Here is a 17,814-nt window from a genome sequence, read left to right as displayed (position 1 = left end):
TCAGAAGCCACTCAGAGACAAAACAAAAAACATATTCATAGTTTGGCTATAGAAATAAGAAATAAGTGTATTAACTGTGACACTGTAATAGGCAGAGTCTAGCTAATTGGGAGGTCATGAGTAGGGTGACAGACCCTCTTGGGACCAAGGGGGTTCCCGCATATGGGACTTTCAGAGCTAAAACTGGGAAAGTCCTGTGTAAACCAGGACTAGTTTGACATCTTAGTCATAGGGTAGAAGAAATGAATAAAGGATGCTAATGTCATTTTTCAGACCAAGGTTCAATAGATGCTTTAGAAAAGAAATAAGTTGGAGACAAGACAAATATAGCAACTGTTAGCAGTGACTGTACTTGAGGAATAAGTTTTTTATATTTGATTTCACCCTTTCCAAACTTTAGATTTTTAAAACAATACATCCACTTAGAGCACAATGGGTCAACTCTTATTCACAAGGTATCTAACTTCTAACAGAGAATATTTCAAAATGAGAACAACCTAGAACTCCAAACATGTGAAGCCAACTAAAAATAATTAAATAAGAGATTTTTATCTAAACTCTGATATGAAAGCAAGGGTATAAACAAACCAAGGAAAGGAAGGTCTGCTCTCCTGTCCAGGGGCCATGTCTGTACTCTTGTGAAGGATGAATGATCACAGAAAAGGACAAGAAGAAGACCCTAGTGAACCAAAAAACAGAAAAAAAAAAGGGACCAACTGAGCCACGTTAATTACAGTAATAAGCCATTTATATTCCACATTGCCACCACAGCTACTGCTGGAGAAACCAGAGTTCATCCACGTCAGAACGGCTCAAAAGACACAATGCTGTTTCTCTCTCCCTCTCAAAAGGTGTGGCTGTGTGTGTCATGTGTTACACTAGCTTTTTTTTTTAAAAAAAGTCATGAGTTACATACAATGATCTGGCCATTTTATGGCAAAACTGTTACTTATAGAAAAAATTCAAAATAGAGGTCTTTTCATGAGCATTAATACTTTGAAGTTTGTGTAATGACCCTGAAGAGGTATCTATAGATACAATGTTTTTTTCTTTAGAGAAAACTCAAGTCTTAGGTATGCTGACTCCACAGTTATTTGCACAGGAAGCCATTAACTTATCTGCAAATAGTAACTCACCATAAAGATAATAATTGTTTCATACCCTTCAACTCAAAAATGCCTCTGTTAACACCCAAAAGATACAATATTTATTTTAAATTCAAAATACAAAAAGCCCATAGTCCTGCTTTCTGTAAGCCACTAGTTACCAAGCATATAATCAACACCCATTATGAGTGTTGTACAGTGCATGAAACCAGGGGCCTTAATATATTTAACTGCTTGACGAGTCCTGGCCAGATCACTGCAATTCTATCAGGTTTCGTTTTTTTAAGATACACAGTGTTTTAAAAACATACCTGAAATCAGGATGTAGCTTATAATTAACATGAACATTTAACAGTTTATTTATGCTCCCTGAAAAGTTGTTAAATCAATTATCTTAAAAATCCAGAGTCTAGCAACTAAGAAAACCAAAAAATGCCACATACACAGCTCACTGGAAATGCATGTGATAATAACTAATATAATTGAACTTATGAAAATAATGTTTTATAAATGTGGCTCCAGGTAAGCTCAGATATTGTCCTATAAGTGAAGACAGCTGAGATTAGAAACATTAAGAAGAACAAAATTAGCTCAAAGTAGATGCTTGTTTCCCAATTGTTTTTAATTACAAATTACACTTAGTGTATCCACAAATTCCAAAACAAGAAACAACAGAACTACACTCCTAAAATGTCCACTCATGACTTTTCTATTTTTCATTTTAATTAGAAGACTATTAAGATTCCCATTCATTATCTCGGGGCATTAAAAACATTTCAATGTCATTTATCAAGAGCAAAATTTGCAGCACAGTCTCCACAACTCCAAAAACAAAATTTAAAAAGAAAAAAAGTCTGTGAAAGCTGCAATTTACTTGCTTGCCAGGAGGCTAATTGGAATGTGCTGGAGTAAAGGTAATGAAATGATGTAAAACATTTGTGTGAAAGTCAAAGCATTCTGTGATAAGCCCGTGAAGGGTAGGAACCATATCTGTCCCTCATTTTCATTTCCTTTGGTTCCTGGTGATAGCTCTATTGAATATTCAAATTAAACAGGTTTGAGAACTAATTATTTTTCCAGAAAAAGAGTCCCTTAACTACTTCAACACCTGGATTGTTTTAAGTTTCTACATCCCCCAAAAATGCTCCCAACTCTTCTTGGAAGAATAACATCCTGTAAATTCCTACCCACTCCTACTCTGAGGTCGGCTACAAACCACAGCCTTGTAACTTTTAGGCAAAGATGCTGGTGTCTGTATGAATCCACAAGCATGAAAATGATGACGTATCTCCAAGCATTTGTTCTGTTCTCTACAAAATCAAGATTTATTGTTCAATTGTTTTATTACTTCATTACTTTAATGGGTTTTCTTCCAGAATTAGGCTTAAAGCCTGGAATTGAAAATTAAATTTTTCCATATGTCTGAATTTAAACCATTGGCTCTAATAATGGGGAATCTATTTTTTCTTTCAGTTGAAATATTTTAGATGTTTATTTTTATTCACTTAATTCTTTACAAAAAATGCTTTATCCCAAAGCTGAGTTTCTGACCTCTATGCACTTTTCAAGTTAGTCTTGAGTGTGGTTTTCTTGTGGAAGTCAGTGTGGCACTGGATAACATACTGAGGGCATACTATGTGCCTCCTGAGCTTCCCATCCTTTTTCTCCCCAACTACTGCTTTAAAATTTCTCCAACTCCATCAAGCTCTCCTAGCCTACCCTAGGCCACATATTTTACTACATTCTCATATTATTTTCTACCTCCCATGTGGCTGCTTGATCACAGTTCTTTTTTTTTTCTTCTTCCTCTTTTTTTCTTTTTTTTTTTTGGGGGGGAGATCGAGTTTTGCTCTTGTTGGCCAGGCTGGAGTGCAATGGCTCGATCTCAGCTCACTGCAACCTCTGCCTCCTGGGTTCAAGTGATTCTCCTGCCTCAGCCTCCAGAGTAGCTGGGATTACAGGCACCTGCCACCACGCCCGGATTTTTTTTTGTTGTTGTTAGTAGAGACGGGGTTTCTCTATGTAGGTCAGGCTGGTCTCCAACTCCTGATCTCAGGTGATTCGCCTGCCTCGGCCTCCCAAAGTGCTGGGATTACAGGCCTGAGCCACCACGCCCAGCCTCAACTTCACTCTTTTTCCCCTCCTCCCTCAGGTACAGAAAAGGGACAGTCAGAACTGTGGAGGGGCAACCTGGTCACCAGCACTCTCCATCTCGGCCATTCACTGCTGCCTCCCATACATCCAAACTCACCCTCTGCACTGACTCTCAGCCTCCACGGAGGATGATACAATGGATCATTCCTAACAAGCTTCCCCTTTAGAGCCTACGCTCCCTCTCTCCTCCCCTCGGCCATTAGTATCTTCTGCCTCAACCAAATTGGTTTAGAATCACTGTTTCTGACCCTCTCCTTCCTCATCTCTGACCCCAGTCAGGCTTCTACCCTCTGCACCACCTCTGAGATGACTAAGGCCCCCATCGTCAGAGGCCCCTGCATCTTTATCTGCAGCTGCAGCCAAAGCCTCCAGACTTATGTTTCCCAGTGCCCAGAGAGCAGCTCCATGACAGGCTCTTGGCTAACCCTGCCCCAGCTAAAGCTCTGCACTCTGCCTGATTCCCACCAGCTTCACCTGCGACTCGGATAAGTCTCAGGATGCACAGGCCAGCAATACTGAGCTGCCTGGAATCAGCTCTGCCCAGACTCCCGCTTCCCTGCTGCCCTGGACTGGGGTCCTGCTCCCTGCTCTGCCTGCCAGGTCCTTCCAACCCATCTTTACCTGGTGACTCCTCTCACCCTGCGAGACCCACTTCCAGCATTCATGACTTCCGTCAGGACGGCATCCCTGAGCCGGCACTTCCAGATGACACTGTTGCCCTCCGATTAGACCTGTGGTTTCCTCAAGTGCAGAAATTGGGTCTCATCTTTGAAACCCAAGACCCACTGTCATTATTCAAAAATGTTTAACTGAATGATGAGTCCTCAAAGGAGAGCAAATCTGTTATTTGGTTGCTCCCAGACGTAAAGTGTGCTTTCAGCTTAGTAAAAGTAAACAAATGGGGCTTTTAAGAAAGCACTGCATAAGGTATTTTCACAGAACAGTTTTAAAAGCGAAACTACAGAAGTCATTAGCAAAATATCAGCTAAGTTAGAAAGGGGAAATTCAAATGAAATCATACTAGACATATATGCAAATTTTAGTCTTTGATCCTCAAGCTCGTTTCCCCAGAAACTTTTTGGCAAATTAAACCAGCGATTAGTGACATGTATCATTTCACGGCAGAAGGTCTTATAAAGTATTCTTTAAAACATCACTTGAAGTTAAAGTTCTCCTCAATTACCCATTCCTTGTCTTTTAACTATCAGTATCCTGTCACCAAGACTGCCCATGTAAGAATAGATGTTTGTGAAATTATTCTCTCCTTTGTTTTTTGCTCCTGAATAATGGCCCTAGGACATTTGTTACCAGCCTGCATGTGTTCCTGCCATCCTGTTGAGAACAGGGCATGGAGGAAGCGGGAGAGGCCAGGTAGAGGGGTATGGCCAATGCAGGCAACACTCGCCTGGGGGCCTCTCCAACCTGCCCACCTTGCCCAGGACCAAGGCCCAGGCCACCAAGTCTGACTGTCCTCCATAGACACCCAAGGCCCTGAGAGCAGCCCTAGGTGTGTCCGGTTGGCCAAGGCCGATGATAAAAGCAGACAAAAAGACAAACTTTGGAAGAAATCTTTACATTTACTTTTCAAGTTATAAAAATCACAACTCCCTACTGTTAAAAAAAGTCCAGAGAATAAAGAAAAGCAAGGAAAAACCATCACTTGTAAGCCAGAGACAATCGTGGCCCATACCCTGGTGATTTCTTCCAGCTTTGCTTGTGTGTTTATAATAGAGAATGGAGATTAAACAATTTCGTGTACTCTGACCTTTTCCTTTTTTCACTGAACATTACGACATGCACATTTTTAGGAGCAAATTTTAAACTGTTGACCTTTTGCTACTTGTAGCAAAAATTCTTCAGAAAATGCCAAATGCCGCGTGCTTGTTGTAGGAACCAGAGTCCTGAAGTTGTGAGACTGTTCTCTCAGAAGGCCAGAAAGCCTAGAAGCTCTGGTGGACAGGTTGGTGGCAGTGGCCGAGGAAGCAGCCAGCCAGCCCCCGGGGCAGGACAGCACTAGCAGGAAGGAGGCCGCTAGAAAGCCTGATGCCCAGTTCCCCATGCCCAGTTCCCTGGGGCTTCTCCTTACTTGCTCGCAGCCCTCCACTAGCCCACATCCTCTTCTCCTCCCCCAGCTCTGTCCTACCCTCTGTTCCCCTCCTTGGGAACCCAACCGTGCTCTACGGATGCTCTGAAGCATCTGTAGGTGGGGAGCGGTTGCCAGCAAGGGGAAGGGGAACCCCCGAATCCACTGTAGCAGGTAAAGAAGAGTTCTGAAATGCAAGGTTAGAACTTTTATTTTCCTACAAGTCTTACTGCAAGTTTTCCTACAGGTAACTGAACTGCACAGTGTTGTTCAGTTACTTCCAGCATATTGACCTAAAGATGCTTCTGTTATGATCAGCGTCCAAGCCACAAGACTCTGTCCGACTCCACTAGGTGTAAGGTGTGGCTGTCATGCTGGGCTTTCAAGGTCCTAATACTCCCTGTGTGTAGGGGATGGGGTGTCCCCCAAAGGACAGCAGCACCCATTGCATCACTCCCCACAGTCCTGTCTGTCCATCACCTGAAAAGCTGCCTAAAACGCAGACCTGGGGAGGAGGGTGCTGGATGGAAAAAAGGTGGAACTGGTTTCGTGGTTTTAATTCAAAGACACAGATTGAGAGAGAGAGAGACAGGAATTGAAAAATTGGAGCTGCTGTATATATTTATTTCAAACAGGCTGGAGGATCTAGAAGCCTTGAGATGACACAGCCACAGAAGATGCAGAAACCTCTGCTCCACAAGTGAGCTTGTGGATTCCTGGGCATAGATTTTCTTGGCTCTCTTACTCTTCCACAGTATTTGCTCAAATCTTTGAGAGCTTCAGCTTTAGCATTCCCTTCTAAGAAGGATCATCAGACTTTGGCCCCCTCCACTCCATCGAAACGGTTTATCAAGGCCACCAATGACCTTCTCACTGCAAAATCCAATGATCGACTCTCCTTGTCTTTACTTTCCAGCTGCTAGGATGCACATTCTCCACTGAGCTTCTGGAAAGCCATGGGCTCCTGGCTTTCCTTCCTTGCTGGCAGCTCCTTCCCCATTTCCTGGGCCGAATCTTCCAAGTGCTGGGGTGCCCTGAGATCAGCCTCCTGACCTCTTCTCTATCTCACTCTGATACCTCATCTAGCCCGGTGATTGTAAATATCATTGATTTGCTGATAGTTCTCAGGTGTGTATTTCCACACCGGCCCCCTCTCCTGAGCACCAGGTTCACACATCCACGTACCTACCTGGCATCACCACTTAAAGTTGAGATGCATCTTTCAGACCTAGCGTAGCCAAAGCATAATTCTCAGTTTCTCCCCGTTGCTAACCTGCTTTTCCCATATTCACAACCTCAGAAAATGGTGTCAACTGTACTCAGATATTCAGGATAATATCCTTGGCTTCATCCCTTATCTTTTTTCTTTCCAATGCCCCACAACTAAGCCATCCACAAACCCTGTGGGCTGCACTCTCAGCAGACACTCAACCATGGTTCACCACTTCTTCAGTTTTCACCCTGATCCCAGATCCCATCAGCTCTCAGCTGGACTGGTACAGTCACCTCCTGGCCACTGATCTCCTTGCCTATATGCATGCCTCCCCAGCACTGATTCTCCGCAAAGAAGCTAAAGTAATTCTGCTCATATACAATATCACAGCACTCCTGGGTTCAAATTCCACCAGGGGCTTCCCATCACAACCAGAGTAAAGTCAATGTTTTAACCAGGACCTATTCCCCAGGTACCATTCTTTCCATGTACTGGCCTCCCTGCTGAACAAGGTACAAACTGCTTTAAAGAGAGCACTGTGGGCAGTACCGTTCAAATATAAAGAATGGCATCACCAGTAATCCCCTGTGAAATAGTCTATGGCCTCCATCACACTTGCTAGGAAAAGGCTGCCCAGATAAATATCTTTAACTTTTACTTTATAAATAAAATATTCTTTGTCTAATTGTAGAAACCTTGAAAAATATGAAAATCTCCCAAAATACAGAAAAGTATAAATAAAATAAAAATCAAAGTATGAAAGTTCAAAGATAACTAATTATCATTATTATTTTGGTCTGATTTCTTGTCATCAAAGGAAATACATCATAGAAAATCTATGAAGTATAGATTTTTAAAAAATGGATGATTCAGCCAGGTGCAGTGGCTCACGCCTGTAATCCCAGCACTTTGGGAGACCGAGGCAGGCGGATCATGAGGTCAGGAGATCGAGACCATCCTGGCCAATATGGTGAAACCTCCTCTCTACTAAAAATACAAAAATTAGCTGGGCGTGATGCCGCGTGCCTGTAGTCCCAGCTACTTGGGAGACTGAGGTAGGAGAATCACTTGAACCCGGGAGGCGGAGGTTGCAGTAAGCCGAGATTGCGCCACTGCACTCCAGCCTGGGCAACAGAGCAAGAATCCATCTCAAAAAAAAAAAGGATGGTTTTCTGTTGGTTTTGTCCTTTCCTTTGTCACATGTCTTAAAGGTTTTAATTTTATCATTGCTATAGGGAAATCTTAATTGCATATAATAGTTCCTTGTATGAATATTCCATAACTTATCCAACCCTCTAGTGTTGAGGCTTTAGGTTTAAATGTTGCCGCAATGTAGAATCTGGTGTCCAGAAAGGTTTATTTCTTTAGGGTATATCCGAAAAATGAGTCAAAGAGTCCCTTCGAGGCCTTGACAGATACTGTCAAATGGCTGTGAGAAGCATCGCTTCAAGCAGCAATGTGTTCCTCTGTCCAATCCTTTATTTCAGACTGGCCAAAGTACACACCACCTGTGTGTACCAAAGTCATCTCTCACTCTAAACTGCTGCTGGCGAATCCTACCCTTTACACCCAAACAGGCTCCATGGCTGTTTATTCCACTGTGGCCAATGGAGGTCTAGTCTTCCAGGCTAGAACCCTCAGTTTCTTCTCTCTCATCAGGTCCCCTTCCCCAAATCCCACATATGCACACACTCACTTGCTCGTGGATGAACTTCTCTATTTCCATTGCATTCCAGTCCTCTGCAAAGCCTCATTATCTTTGCATGTGGATGACAGCACTACATTCTTACCTGGAGTAGTGCTTCTCTAACCAGTGAATTACCTGGGGCTATTACTACAACACAGGTTCTTATTCTACAGGATAGTACAATGAATACTGTAATTTGTGCAATTGTTTATCCTCTCTGCTAGATTATAACATCATTAATAGTACGGGCAGAATATTAACCAACTCCATTTAACTAAATGAATTCAACCCTGAGTCCTTTCACTCAAGTCAAGTTAATACTTAATCCAGATATAGAGGGTTCAGTGCAGGAGGGCAAGGACGGGGTGTGTGTGTGTGTGTGTGTGTGTGTGTGTGTGTGTGTGTGTGTGTGTGTTTTCCTATCTACATACCATCCCAAAACAAATGTCCATTTGCTGAGGACTCTTTGAAAATTGATCTCAAAGGAATCTAAAGAGAAACCAGGACTGCAGTCCTATGTGTGGAATGCTGCCACTTTCTGCTCTTCTTACAGTGAAGGGGTTTTCTACTGGGTCAACATCCTCTTTGAAATTTATACCAAGAAAAATATACACATATTAAACAGCAGCAGCAATTTACAGTAAAACAGAAAATTCCACTCAGGGCAGAAAACAACCAGAAACATATAACATTTCAAAGCTCTGGAAGTGGGAGTTCACATGCTTAAATCATTGCTTCATTGCCAGTTTTACTGCAGCAACAGCCTTCCCTCTGACAATCATGTCAGTATTACCAAACCTTTAAAACATTCACTTGGAGTTCAATCTGTTGCCCATATGCCAGATATAAGAATAATTGAATTCACAATATTTATTCTGTACAAGAGTGGGTTCTATTTTAAAATCCCATTATTGTGTGGTTACAGGATATCATTTAAATAAATATTAATGTAGGCCCATATCAGTTCTTAAAACAGAATGAAGTCTGCATCCCATAAAACGCCCTGCATATTACTCAGCAGCACGTTTGGAAGACAAGGCAGCAGTTGTTTATTATTATCTATGTAATCTTGGATTTCAGTTTCTAATGATCACAGATGGCAATAAACTCTTCCACTAGTGCTCAAGGCAAGAGGGTGATGGAAACCTTTCCTAATTGTGGCAAACATATGTTGACACAGATATTTATATGCAATTCTGCCAGGCAGGATACATTTATATCCAGTTTTATTATACTTGTGATCCTAAAAAACAAAATCTATGTGTCAACGTTGGATTTTTCAGGTATGCAGTCATTCTCTTAACTTCCTGCTTGCGGACTAGTAAATACTTTTTTTTAAGATTACGGTTAAAAAAAAGAAGTGCAGTTTCCCAGAAGAAAACCAGATGTTTAAGTTTTATTCTCAAAAATGATGTTGGTGTTGATTTTTTTTTAAAGGCCACTGCTATTTGTAAGCTCAAGTTTTGTTTCTCTTCACCCTTGGGATCTGCACTACAATAATCTGTGGAAATGTCCACCCTTCTGAGTGGAAGAAACCCTGATAACCTTATTTTTGAAGAAAAATTTTCAATCAGAACAGAGAATATTGCAGTGTTAGCAAAATTAAGGAGTAAAGTGATGCTTTTGAGTCACTCATAAGTATATTTTAAGAATAGATTTTGCAGATTTTAAATACAGCTTAGGAAGAGAAATGATTAAAAACTTGACATCTCTGACTGCCACAAAAAGTGCCTTTTAAGACCTAAATATTTTTTATCTTTCAAATAAATATTTTGTCCAGAATTTGACACAGTATAAACAAACATGTCTGATATGGACTTGCTGATTTAACTTGTTGTATCACATCTCTTGAAACAGGGTTCACGAGCAAATTCTTCTTCCCTTGATCTATTACAAGAGATCACGCCACACCCCAGAGTCCCAGTGGTGGCCTTCCCTCGCCCCTTTTTCCCAGCATGTCCCATGCACTATAAAGAATGGTTTAGTTGCTACTATTCTTTCACAAGCTTTCCTGAGTTTACTAATGGTTGAGCACAAAGATATTTAACTTCAGGTTATAGTTTCATGTAACCTAGACCTACAATGGGGGTAAAAATACAAAACACACACACACGCACACACACATACACATACACACACACAGTGTGGTATGCAAATGGAATGGAACTACTCTTAACTCTTGGTAGGATATTGTCCTTCATGAATCTCAAACGATGGGCTTGAATTGCTTGTGTGCCTTTGAGCCCTTCTGAAATGGAATTTACACGCACCTCCCCAAAGAGCTTTACTTATCTTGGGTGGTGTCATGAATGAACCTTAGAAACAAAAAATGCTTGCCAGCAGGGTACATCTGAAGCCCTTAAAGCATCAGAAAATGTGAATTAACCAACATGGTGCAGCAGGCCGGAGATTTACCCTTCACTCCGGAGAGCCCGGCAGTAAACAGAGACAGAGCACATGTTCTGGTGTCCCCAACGCCCCTTCGCAGGCAGACACACAGATCGAGACAGACTCCTGATCCCGAGGCGTCAATGGAACGTCCAAGGTCAGCATGGCGAGTTCTCCTTCAGGAGAGACCACACTGAAGCTCAGCTGGCCATGGAACTCTGAGCCTTCGCCTGAAGGCCTCTGAAGATAACACCCTTTCTTTAGGCAAATCTACAGTGCCTTAGTATCTCTCTCTATTCCTTAACGGAAACAAAATATGAGCCTTCTTACAGACCCTTTTTGTCTTTCTTGCTGGCCCTCAGGAGATCTTATGCATTTTGTACAACAGACCCCCCGCCCCCCGCCCCACAATGGCCTATGTTGCATAACTTACTTGCCATCGTGGTGCCTTTGCAGTTTTTTCATCACCCCCACAAACACTTCTGCTGGTATGGAACCTTTGAAATTAATGTGCAATTCTCTATCACTCCTCATCCCAACATATTTCATCATGCATCCCCCCATGACATCTTCCTACAGAACCACAAGCCATTATGATACCTGAAAAAAGTACCAAGAATTCCATAACATCATCTAATATCCAGTTGTGTCTGTCATGGGCTGAAGTGTGCCTCCCCCAAATTCATATGTTGAAGTCCTAGCCCCTGGTAAATGAGAATGTAACTTTATTTGGAACTAGGGTCTTTAAAGAGATGATTGAAGACTGGGCATGATGGCTCATGCCTGTAATCCCAGCACTTTGCAGGGCCGAGGTGGGCAGATCACTTGAGGTCAGGAGTTCGAGACCAGCCTGGCCAACATGGTGAAACCCCATCTTTACTAAAAATACAAAAAATTAGCCAGGCATGGTGGTGCATGCCTGTAATCCCAGCTACTCAGGAGGCTGAGGCAGGAGAATCACTTGAACCCAGGAGGCAGAGGTTGCAGTGAGCCAAGATTGCACCACTGCACTCCAGCCTGGGTGACAAGAGTGCAACTCTGTCACTTAAAAAAAAAGAGAGAGATGATTAAGGTAAAATGAGGTCCTTAGGATGAGCCCTAATCCATTATGACTGGTGTTCCCATACTAAGAGGAGATCAGGACACAGACACACACAGAGGGACCACCATGTAACGACACAGGGAGAAGACAGTATCTGCAAGCAAAGGAGGCCTCAGAAGAAACAACCCTGCGAAGAAACAACCCTGCTAACACCTTCATCTTGGAATTCCAGCCTCCAGAACTGTGAGAAAATATATTTCTGTCATTGAAGCCACCCAGGCAATGGTACTTTGTTATGGTAGACCTAGCAAATAAATATACTCTTCTAAACTTATTTTATAGTTTTTAAAAAATCCATTTTTTTTTTTTGAGATGGAGTCTCACTCTGTAGCTCAGGCTGGAGTGCAGTGGCACGATCTTGGCTCACTGCAACCTCCGCCTCCTGGGTTCAGGCAATTTTAGTCTGGCTAATTTTCATATTTTTAATAGAGACGGGGTTTTGCCATGTTGGCCAGGCTGATCTCAAACTTCTGACCTCAAGTGATCTGCCTGCCTTGGCCTCCCAAAGTGTTGGGATTACAGAAGTGAGCCACCACGCCTGGCCTAAAAAAATCTTTAATTAACCAAATTTTATCCATTATACTTAGTTGTTATGAAAAAAATCACAGGCTTTTATTTCAGCCAAACTGGATTTCAAGTATGAAATTCGTACAAGGTGCCTTTGAAGTGAATTCCTTATTTCTAGGCTTCACTTTCCTCATCAGAGACACCAGCCAACACTGCCTGCTGTTGTTGAAGTGAGGCCGACTGTGGTGACAACTGAGAAAAAAAAAATTCTATGAAAGTGTTGGTGCATAGAAAGTTTTCAGCAAATGTCCCTCTCATTCCTTAATCCAAACAGAAATCCACAGGTTTCTGTTGGAAGTAAGGATGAAGAACTGATGGCTATGCCTCCAGGAGCCATCACGATGATAATCATCACCCTACTGTACTTTGCAAAGTAAAATCGTCCTGGCTGAATTTCTTAAGAGGCTGTCCTATAGCAGTCACATTGCTAGGTGCTCCATAGGACGGAAGACCTCCTTTACTCATGAAGAGTAAGAGTCCTTTACTCATGGGGCTCGAGTGTTGAGGATGTGGGAGGGAGAGGCAAGGTTGCCTGCAATGGGAGTCCCTTGTTGGGGAGGGGAGGATCCTGGAGACAAGAAGCAGAGATAGGCAGGGTGTGAGGGCCCCTGAGCGAAGGCAGCAGCACCCCCAAGGCCCAGGCACCTCCAGACTGCCTGGAGCACAGGGCTTTGAATAGGTCAGTATTGGGAGAAAGACCTGGAACAGGAGGTTAGGGTCTTATTCAGGGATGAGGCTCAGAATGAGAAATGTGTAATAAATTCTACAGCACCATGTAGTCACTGCAGGATCTTACATGAGGATTGTGCCTAACATAGATGATCCTTTTCAATTAGCCATCGCTATGGTTCCAGAAGCTTAAGAAACCTATAATCTAATACATTAATCTGATAAGGCGTTATTACTGCATCCAGCTCAACTGCTGTGACATTCTGTAACCACTGTGCACAGCTTAACTGGAGATTTAAGACACATTGAAGATTCTGTTTTCCTCCTTGAGTAGGTGTTTTTAGGTTGATATAAAACTTCATCATACATACACATGCACAGTGACCTCCAAAAGCCCAATACCACAGGGCAGCACGGTAAACAGGTCGCTGCAGCCTCGGATGCTCAGAGAGGCACATGACAAACGTGTGGGTCTGGCTGGGTGAAGACAGAGGCAGTGGCAAGGCCATGCGATCCAAACACAAACCTCGTGAATAGGCTGAAAAAGAGCACCACAATTGTACAGTGCACACGTGGGGGGCCTGAGGCCAACTCTGCTGTCCGTTTGCAGTACGCGCAAGGGCTGAACACTGGATTAGAAGGGAAGAGAACTAATTTCTAGTTCTGCTTCTACTACTTAATAGATACGTGAGTTTGAGACCTGGAGTTCCCACTGGAAAACTACAGAGAATGCCAGTTGACCTGCCTCATCATCTGATCATTACAGGCCGCCTGACACATAAAAGGCATGCGACATTTGTTATTTGCGTGATGTGCTTGCCCGTTAAAAGGGTGCTGATGGAGGACGCAGGTGCTACCTTCTCATAAAACACTACTGAAGAACCCAACAGCCAAGCTCTCACAAAACCAGGTCAAGTGTTTTTCCCCAAGGTTATTTAACTTGCAAAATGAAATGAAACAAGACTTCCCATCTGTTTTCCTCTTTCTGGCTGCACCTGTGTGGTTGAAGGCAATGATAACATCAGATGTGATTTCAGTGTCATTTGATGAATTATATTCAAGTGAGGCCTGGGGTAGGGAGAAGTGAAACCTCAAGAATGTGTCATTGACATACAGGATACTTAACACAAACAACAGAAGCAGAAGTGGCCTCAACAAGCTTCTGCGCTCATTTCCTACAGAGAAAAAAAAAAAAAAGATGCTCATTAAGAACCCATATCTATTGGACACAAAAGGAAGTGCCGCCTCCCCTCTTCTCTAATAGACTGGCTCAAACAATGCAGTTGACCAAGTCTTTTTCCCTGAGAGGGGGGATGCCACTACAAAACTCCCTCTTTGTTTTTCTATCTTCTAAAAGGGTCTTACATGGTATTACGAACTCAGGAGATCTTGAGAGAAACATTTGCTGATTTTAAATTTCAACTTATAGAAAAATTGTCCAATCTCCTGCAGTGGCAAAACACCATCAACACAACGAAATGAACCTAGGGCAGAGGATGCCTAGAGGAACACATCCTGTAGAAGTAACTTGTCCTTGAACAAAACCTGTTGGAGGTGATTAGGGGATCCGTCAGAGGTTCCTACTAATTCTGTCTACACTGGGAGGGGGAGGCTGGTGAGGGGTGGAAATGGCATCTGAGTATTGTCTTATTACTGAAGGGTGGGCTCTGGGGTTCATCCCAGTAACCTAACTCAGAACAGTGGTAGGGTGGGGAGAATTCCGGAGGTGGCTCTATGCTGCCTGGGAAGCTCTGGCACCAAAAGAGTACCCATGGGGAATGGGGTACAGGCACAGGATGGGTGACCCACCAAGCTGCCCACACACTAAAACACAGCCTGGTGTCTCTAGTCATTTTGATTTTTGCAAATTTAAAAAAAAATTAAGGCTGGGAATGTTGCCTCTTTGTTACTGAAAGTAGTATAACATACTAATTTATTATTCTTTACCTTTGGGCCAAAATTACCCCTCACCACAGCATGTAGAAGAGTGCCCATATAACATGTTGGCTTTTATTGAGATTCATTCACTTAACAAAATTATATACATCTGAGACCCCACAGCATGATAGGCTCATTCAGCTCTCTGCTCCCTTCCGTCTGATATAACACAAAGTGTTGGCTGGCACAACCAAGCTGACCCCAGGTGTGGACAGAGCTCTCGGAGGAGGAAATGGTATTAGGGAGAAGTAAGGGAATCAGAGCCTCAAATATGAGTTGGATTCAAATGTGCATCTCTTACCTACAGCTCAAGGTTAACTGCAACTCACACAACAGTTCTGGACGCAACACGGTAAGACCAGGTAATGAACTGTAACGTGTTCAAGTCATAAGATGTTACCTTAGCAGAAAACAGACATCGAAGTAAACAGAACAAGATGTGTAGCACAAATGATGACAGATGTACATTTGGACAGCACTCATAACCATATATTCAAATAGGTCACTAATGGTCCGTGTTATTGCTCAATAACATCATCTACACTCATTTAGTATTTCCCAGTTTTCAAATTGCGGGCTTATAGTGTTTAAAGTGATTTGTGCCAGCCAGGCATGGTGGCTCACACCTGTAATCCTAGCACTTTGGGAGGCTAAGGCTGGAGGATCACTTGAGGTCAGGAGTTCAAGACTAGCCTGGCCAACATGGTGAAACCCCGACTCTACTAAAAATAGAAAAATTAGCTGGGTGTGGTGGCATAGGCCTGTAATTCCAGCTACTCGGGAAGCTGAGGCAGGAGAACCGCCTGAACCCAGGAGGTGGAGGTTGCAGTGAGCCGAGATTGTGCCACTGTATTCCAGCCTGGGCAACAGAGTGAGACTCCATCTCAAAAAAAAAAAAAAAAATTGATTTGTGCCACAAAAGCCCCTGAGGTGGTAAAACTAATAGGAACCCATGTGTCAAAAAGGGAAGCTGATATTCAGAGAGGTTGTGACTTTTATTATCTCCTAGCAAAGCAACAGCCCCAGAGTCTGACACTCTGGAACACGGCCTTCTTGCACAAATGCTGGACCCTCACCAACCATCATTCCTGTACATAATTATATCAAGTCCTACTACTTCTACTTGTCAGGCCCCACTCTAAGCACATTGCCAGTATTAATGACTCTTTGCAACAACTCCAGGAGTTTGTGACCATTATTAAATTCATTTTAAAGGTAGAAAACTGAGGCACAGAGAGACTAAAGTCAGGAACTTAGAGATTCAATCCAAGAGAGGCCAAAGGTTTTCCCTTGTTGTCAGAGGCAGGATAAATTGCATTGTTTTATTTCCTTCTTCAGGTTATGAACAACCAAGTTTTATTTGGGTGTTCCTAAGAGAGACTCTCTCCAATCTCAATTCATTCTCTCTCCCATTCTTCATGGCACTGATCATTTCTCATAATATCTGATGTTCCCTTGTTTGTAATGTCTCTTGTAGAGATTGCAAACCCCACGAGGGCAGAGCCTCCGTTCTGTCTCCCTTATATCCCAAATGCATGGTGCAACTGATTGATGCCTGGCACAAAACGGGTATAGAGATATTTGCTGAATGAACACACATATAGACATACAGTCCTCCTAACAGCAGAAATAGACCAATTTTTGAAAATAGGTAAGTCAAGTCAGTAAGATCTGGCAATTTAAAAGACAAGCAAAACAGAACACACAATTGGCTCTGTTTACCCTCCAGTTGGAATAAGTGGGTGTGGAGGGCCCGATGGCCATAGAGGGAGTGACAGTGTTTACATAGAGCCCTTCCCCTCTTGCACAAATACTGAAGGGGTCTGGGGGGACAAAGGACAGGCCAGGTTGCAGCAGCAATCTCTTCCCTGATCAAGACCCACTAGGTCTGGCCTGGGCACAGCCTGGAGTCAGCAGAGCTGAGGTGCTTCTGAGTAGCGGTGTCTTCCTTGGAGAGAAACGCTGTCAGGCCTCCCAGTATTCAGGGCTCCCTGCCCAGGGCCAGTGAAGGACTTTGGGAAATACAGGCTTAGAATTATTTCTAACAATCAAACCGAAATTGTTGTTTTTCTTTCCATTCACCCACACGAAAATCCCCTTTCAGATTAAAAACACAATAAAAGTTATAAAAAATATACACAAGAAAATAAACACAATAAAAATAAACACAAAGACAAAAAACAAAAATATGAAATGTGTAATGATTGTGTGATTGTGACCAAATAAACGATAATACATATACAGAAAATGCAGCATCATAAATGCTGGTGTTAATGAGATAACAAAAACGTGTGGAAACACTCTCCTTAATTCAAAACACACCTTTTAGGAAAAAGACATCAATTTATGCCCTCAAACTATAAGCAGTCAAGCAGTAAATGGGCTGTTGTCTAAAAGACCTGTCATCTCAGCCAAAACTGAGAGCTGGTTTTTACCATGTGCTCCTATGAGAAGTGGAGTAGCGCTATCCTAAGCCCTGGTCCCTGGAGCTGTGAAGAACATAATGTAGAAGGGTGAAAGAAAAAAGAACCTTTTTTCTTTTATGACTGGCTAAAGAAAGCATCCAGAAGCACACATTTTATTTTCTTTACCCCTGTACTTCCTCTCACTCCTGCTCCATAAAAGCTGCCTTATGTCTGCAAAAGCTCCCTGCTCCCAAACTGCCTTCTATGCCCTTCATCATCTGTTCCCTTGGTATGAAGCATCTCAGTGGGTATCAGGAATAAAGCAGTCAACACTCAATTAATTCAGATGAAACTGTGTCAGAAAAACATCTATGACCAGTTGTATGAGTTTCTATTGCCCTCCAAGGCAGCAGGAATTTGGAGTCACTGGTTTCCTGAGCTGGATGATGGACATCAGAAAGACACAAGGATGAAGAATGCTTTAAAAAGACTCTACAAGGCA

General features: G+C 42.7%; 1 protein-coding gene across 9 annotated transcripts in view, besides 5 other annotated features; it reads right to left on the bottom strand.

Moving 5' to 3' along the window:
• Positions 1–17,814, bottom strand: part of PLEKHG1 (pleckstrin homology and RhoGEF domain containing G1) — a 243,781-nt gene that overhangs the window by 206,480 nt on the left and 19,487 nt on the right. Inside the window, exon 1 of one of the 9 annotated variants that reach the window (NR_138140.2) lies at positions 3,882–4,222. The exons of the other annotated variants lie outside the window; for them this stretch is intronic. The gene's annotated coding sequence lies outside the window, so the exon portion shown is untranslated. Of the gene's footprint in view, positions 1–3,881; positions 4,223–17,814 lie in introns of those variants that run through there. 9 annotated transcript variants of the gene reach the window in all.
• Positions 73–292: an enhancer, noted in NCBI's record as "active region_25276". NCBI's record gives its function as "activates an Ori minimal core promoter by ATAC-STARR-seq in GM12878 lymphoblastoid cells {active_cell/tissue: GM12878}" and the evidence as "EXISTENCE:reporter gene assay evidence [ECO:0000049][PMID:35858748]".
• Positions 3,658–3,707: an enhancer, noted in NCBI's record as "active region_25275". NCBI's record gives its function as "activates an Ori minimal core promoter by ATAC-STARR-seq in GM12878 lymphoblastoid cells {active_cell/tissue: GM12878}" and the evidence as "EXISTENCE:reporter gene assay evidence [ECO:0000049][PMID:35858748]".
• Positions 3,738–3,867: an enhancer, noted in NCBI's record as "active region_25274". NCBI's record gives its function as "activates an Ori minimal core promoter by ATAC-STARR-seq in GM12878 lymphoblastoid cells {active_cell/tissue: GM12878}" and the evidence as "EXISTENCE:reporter gene assay evidence [ECO:0000049][PMID:35858748]".
• Positions 5,175–5,254: an enhancer, noted in NCBI's record as "active region_25273". NCBI's record gives its function as "activates an Ori minimal core promoter by ATAC-STARR-seq in GM12878 lymphoblastoid cells {active_cell/tissue: GM12878}" and the evidence as "EXISTENCE:reporter gene assay evidence [ECO:0000049][PMID:35858748]".
• Positions 13,479–14,508: an enhancer, noted in NCBI's record as "amplified fragment containing the chr6:150943814-150944844 (GRCh37) CAGE-defined region". NCBI's record gives its function as "transcribed enhancer in B cells {active_cell/tissue: B cell}" and the evidence as "EXISTENCE:reporter gene assay evidence [ECO:0000049][PMID:24670763]".

The sequence above is a fragment of the Homo sapiens genome, chromosome 6 (genome assembly GCF_000001405.40).
Source record: "Homo sapiens chromosome 6, GRCh38.p14 Primary Assembly".
In the NCBI taxonomy this organism is placed as follows: domain Eukaryota; kingdom Metazoa; phylum Chordata; class Mammalia; order Primates; family Hominidae; genus Homo; species Homo sapiens.
The sequence above is the reverse complement of the archived record's forward strand: the minus strand, read 5'-3'. Positions and strand labels throughout refer to the sequence as shown.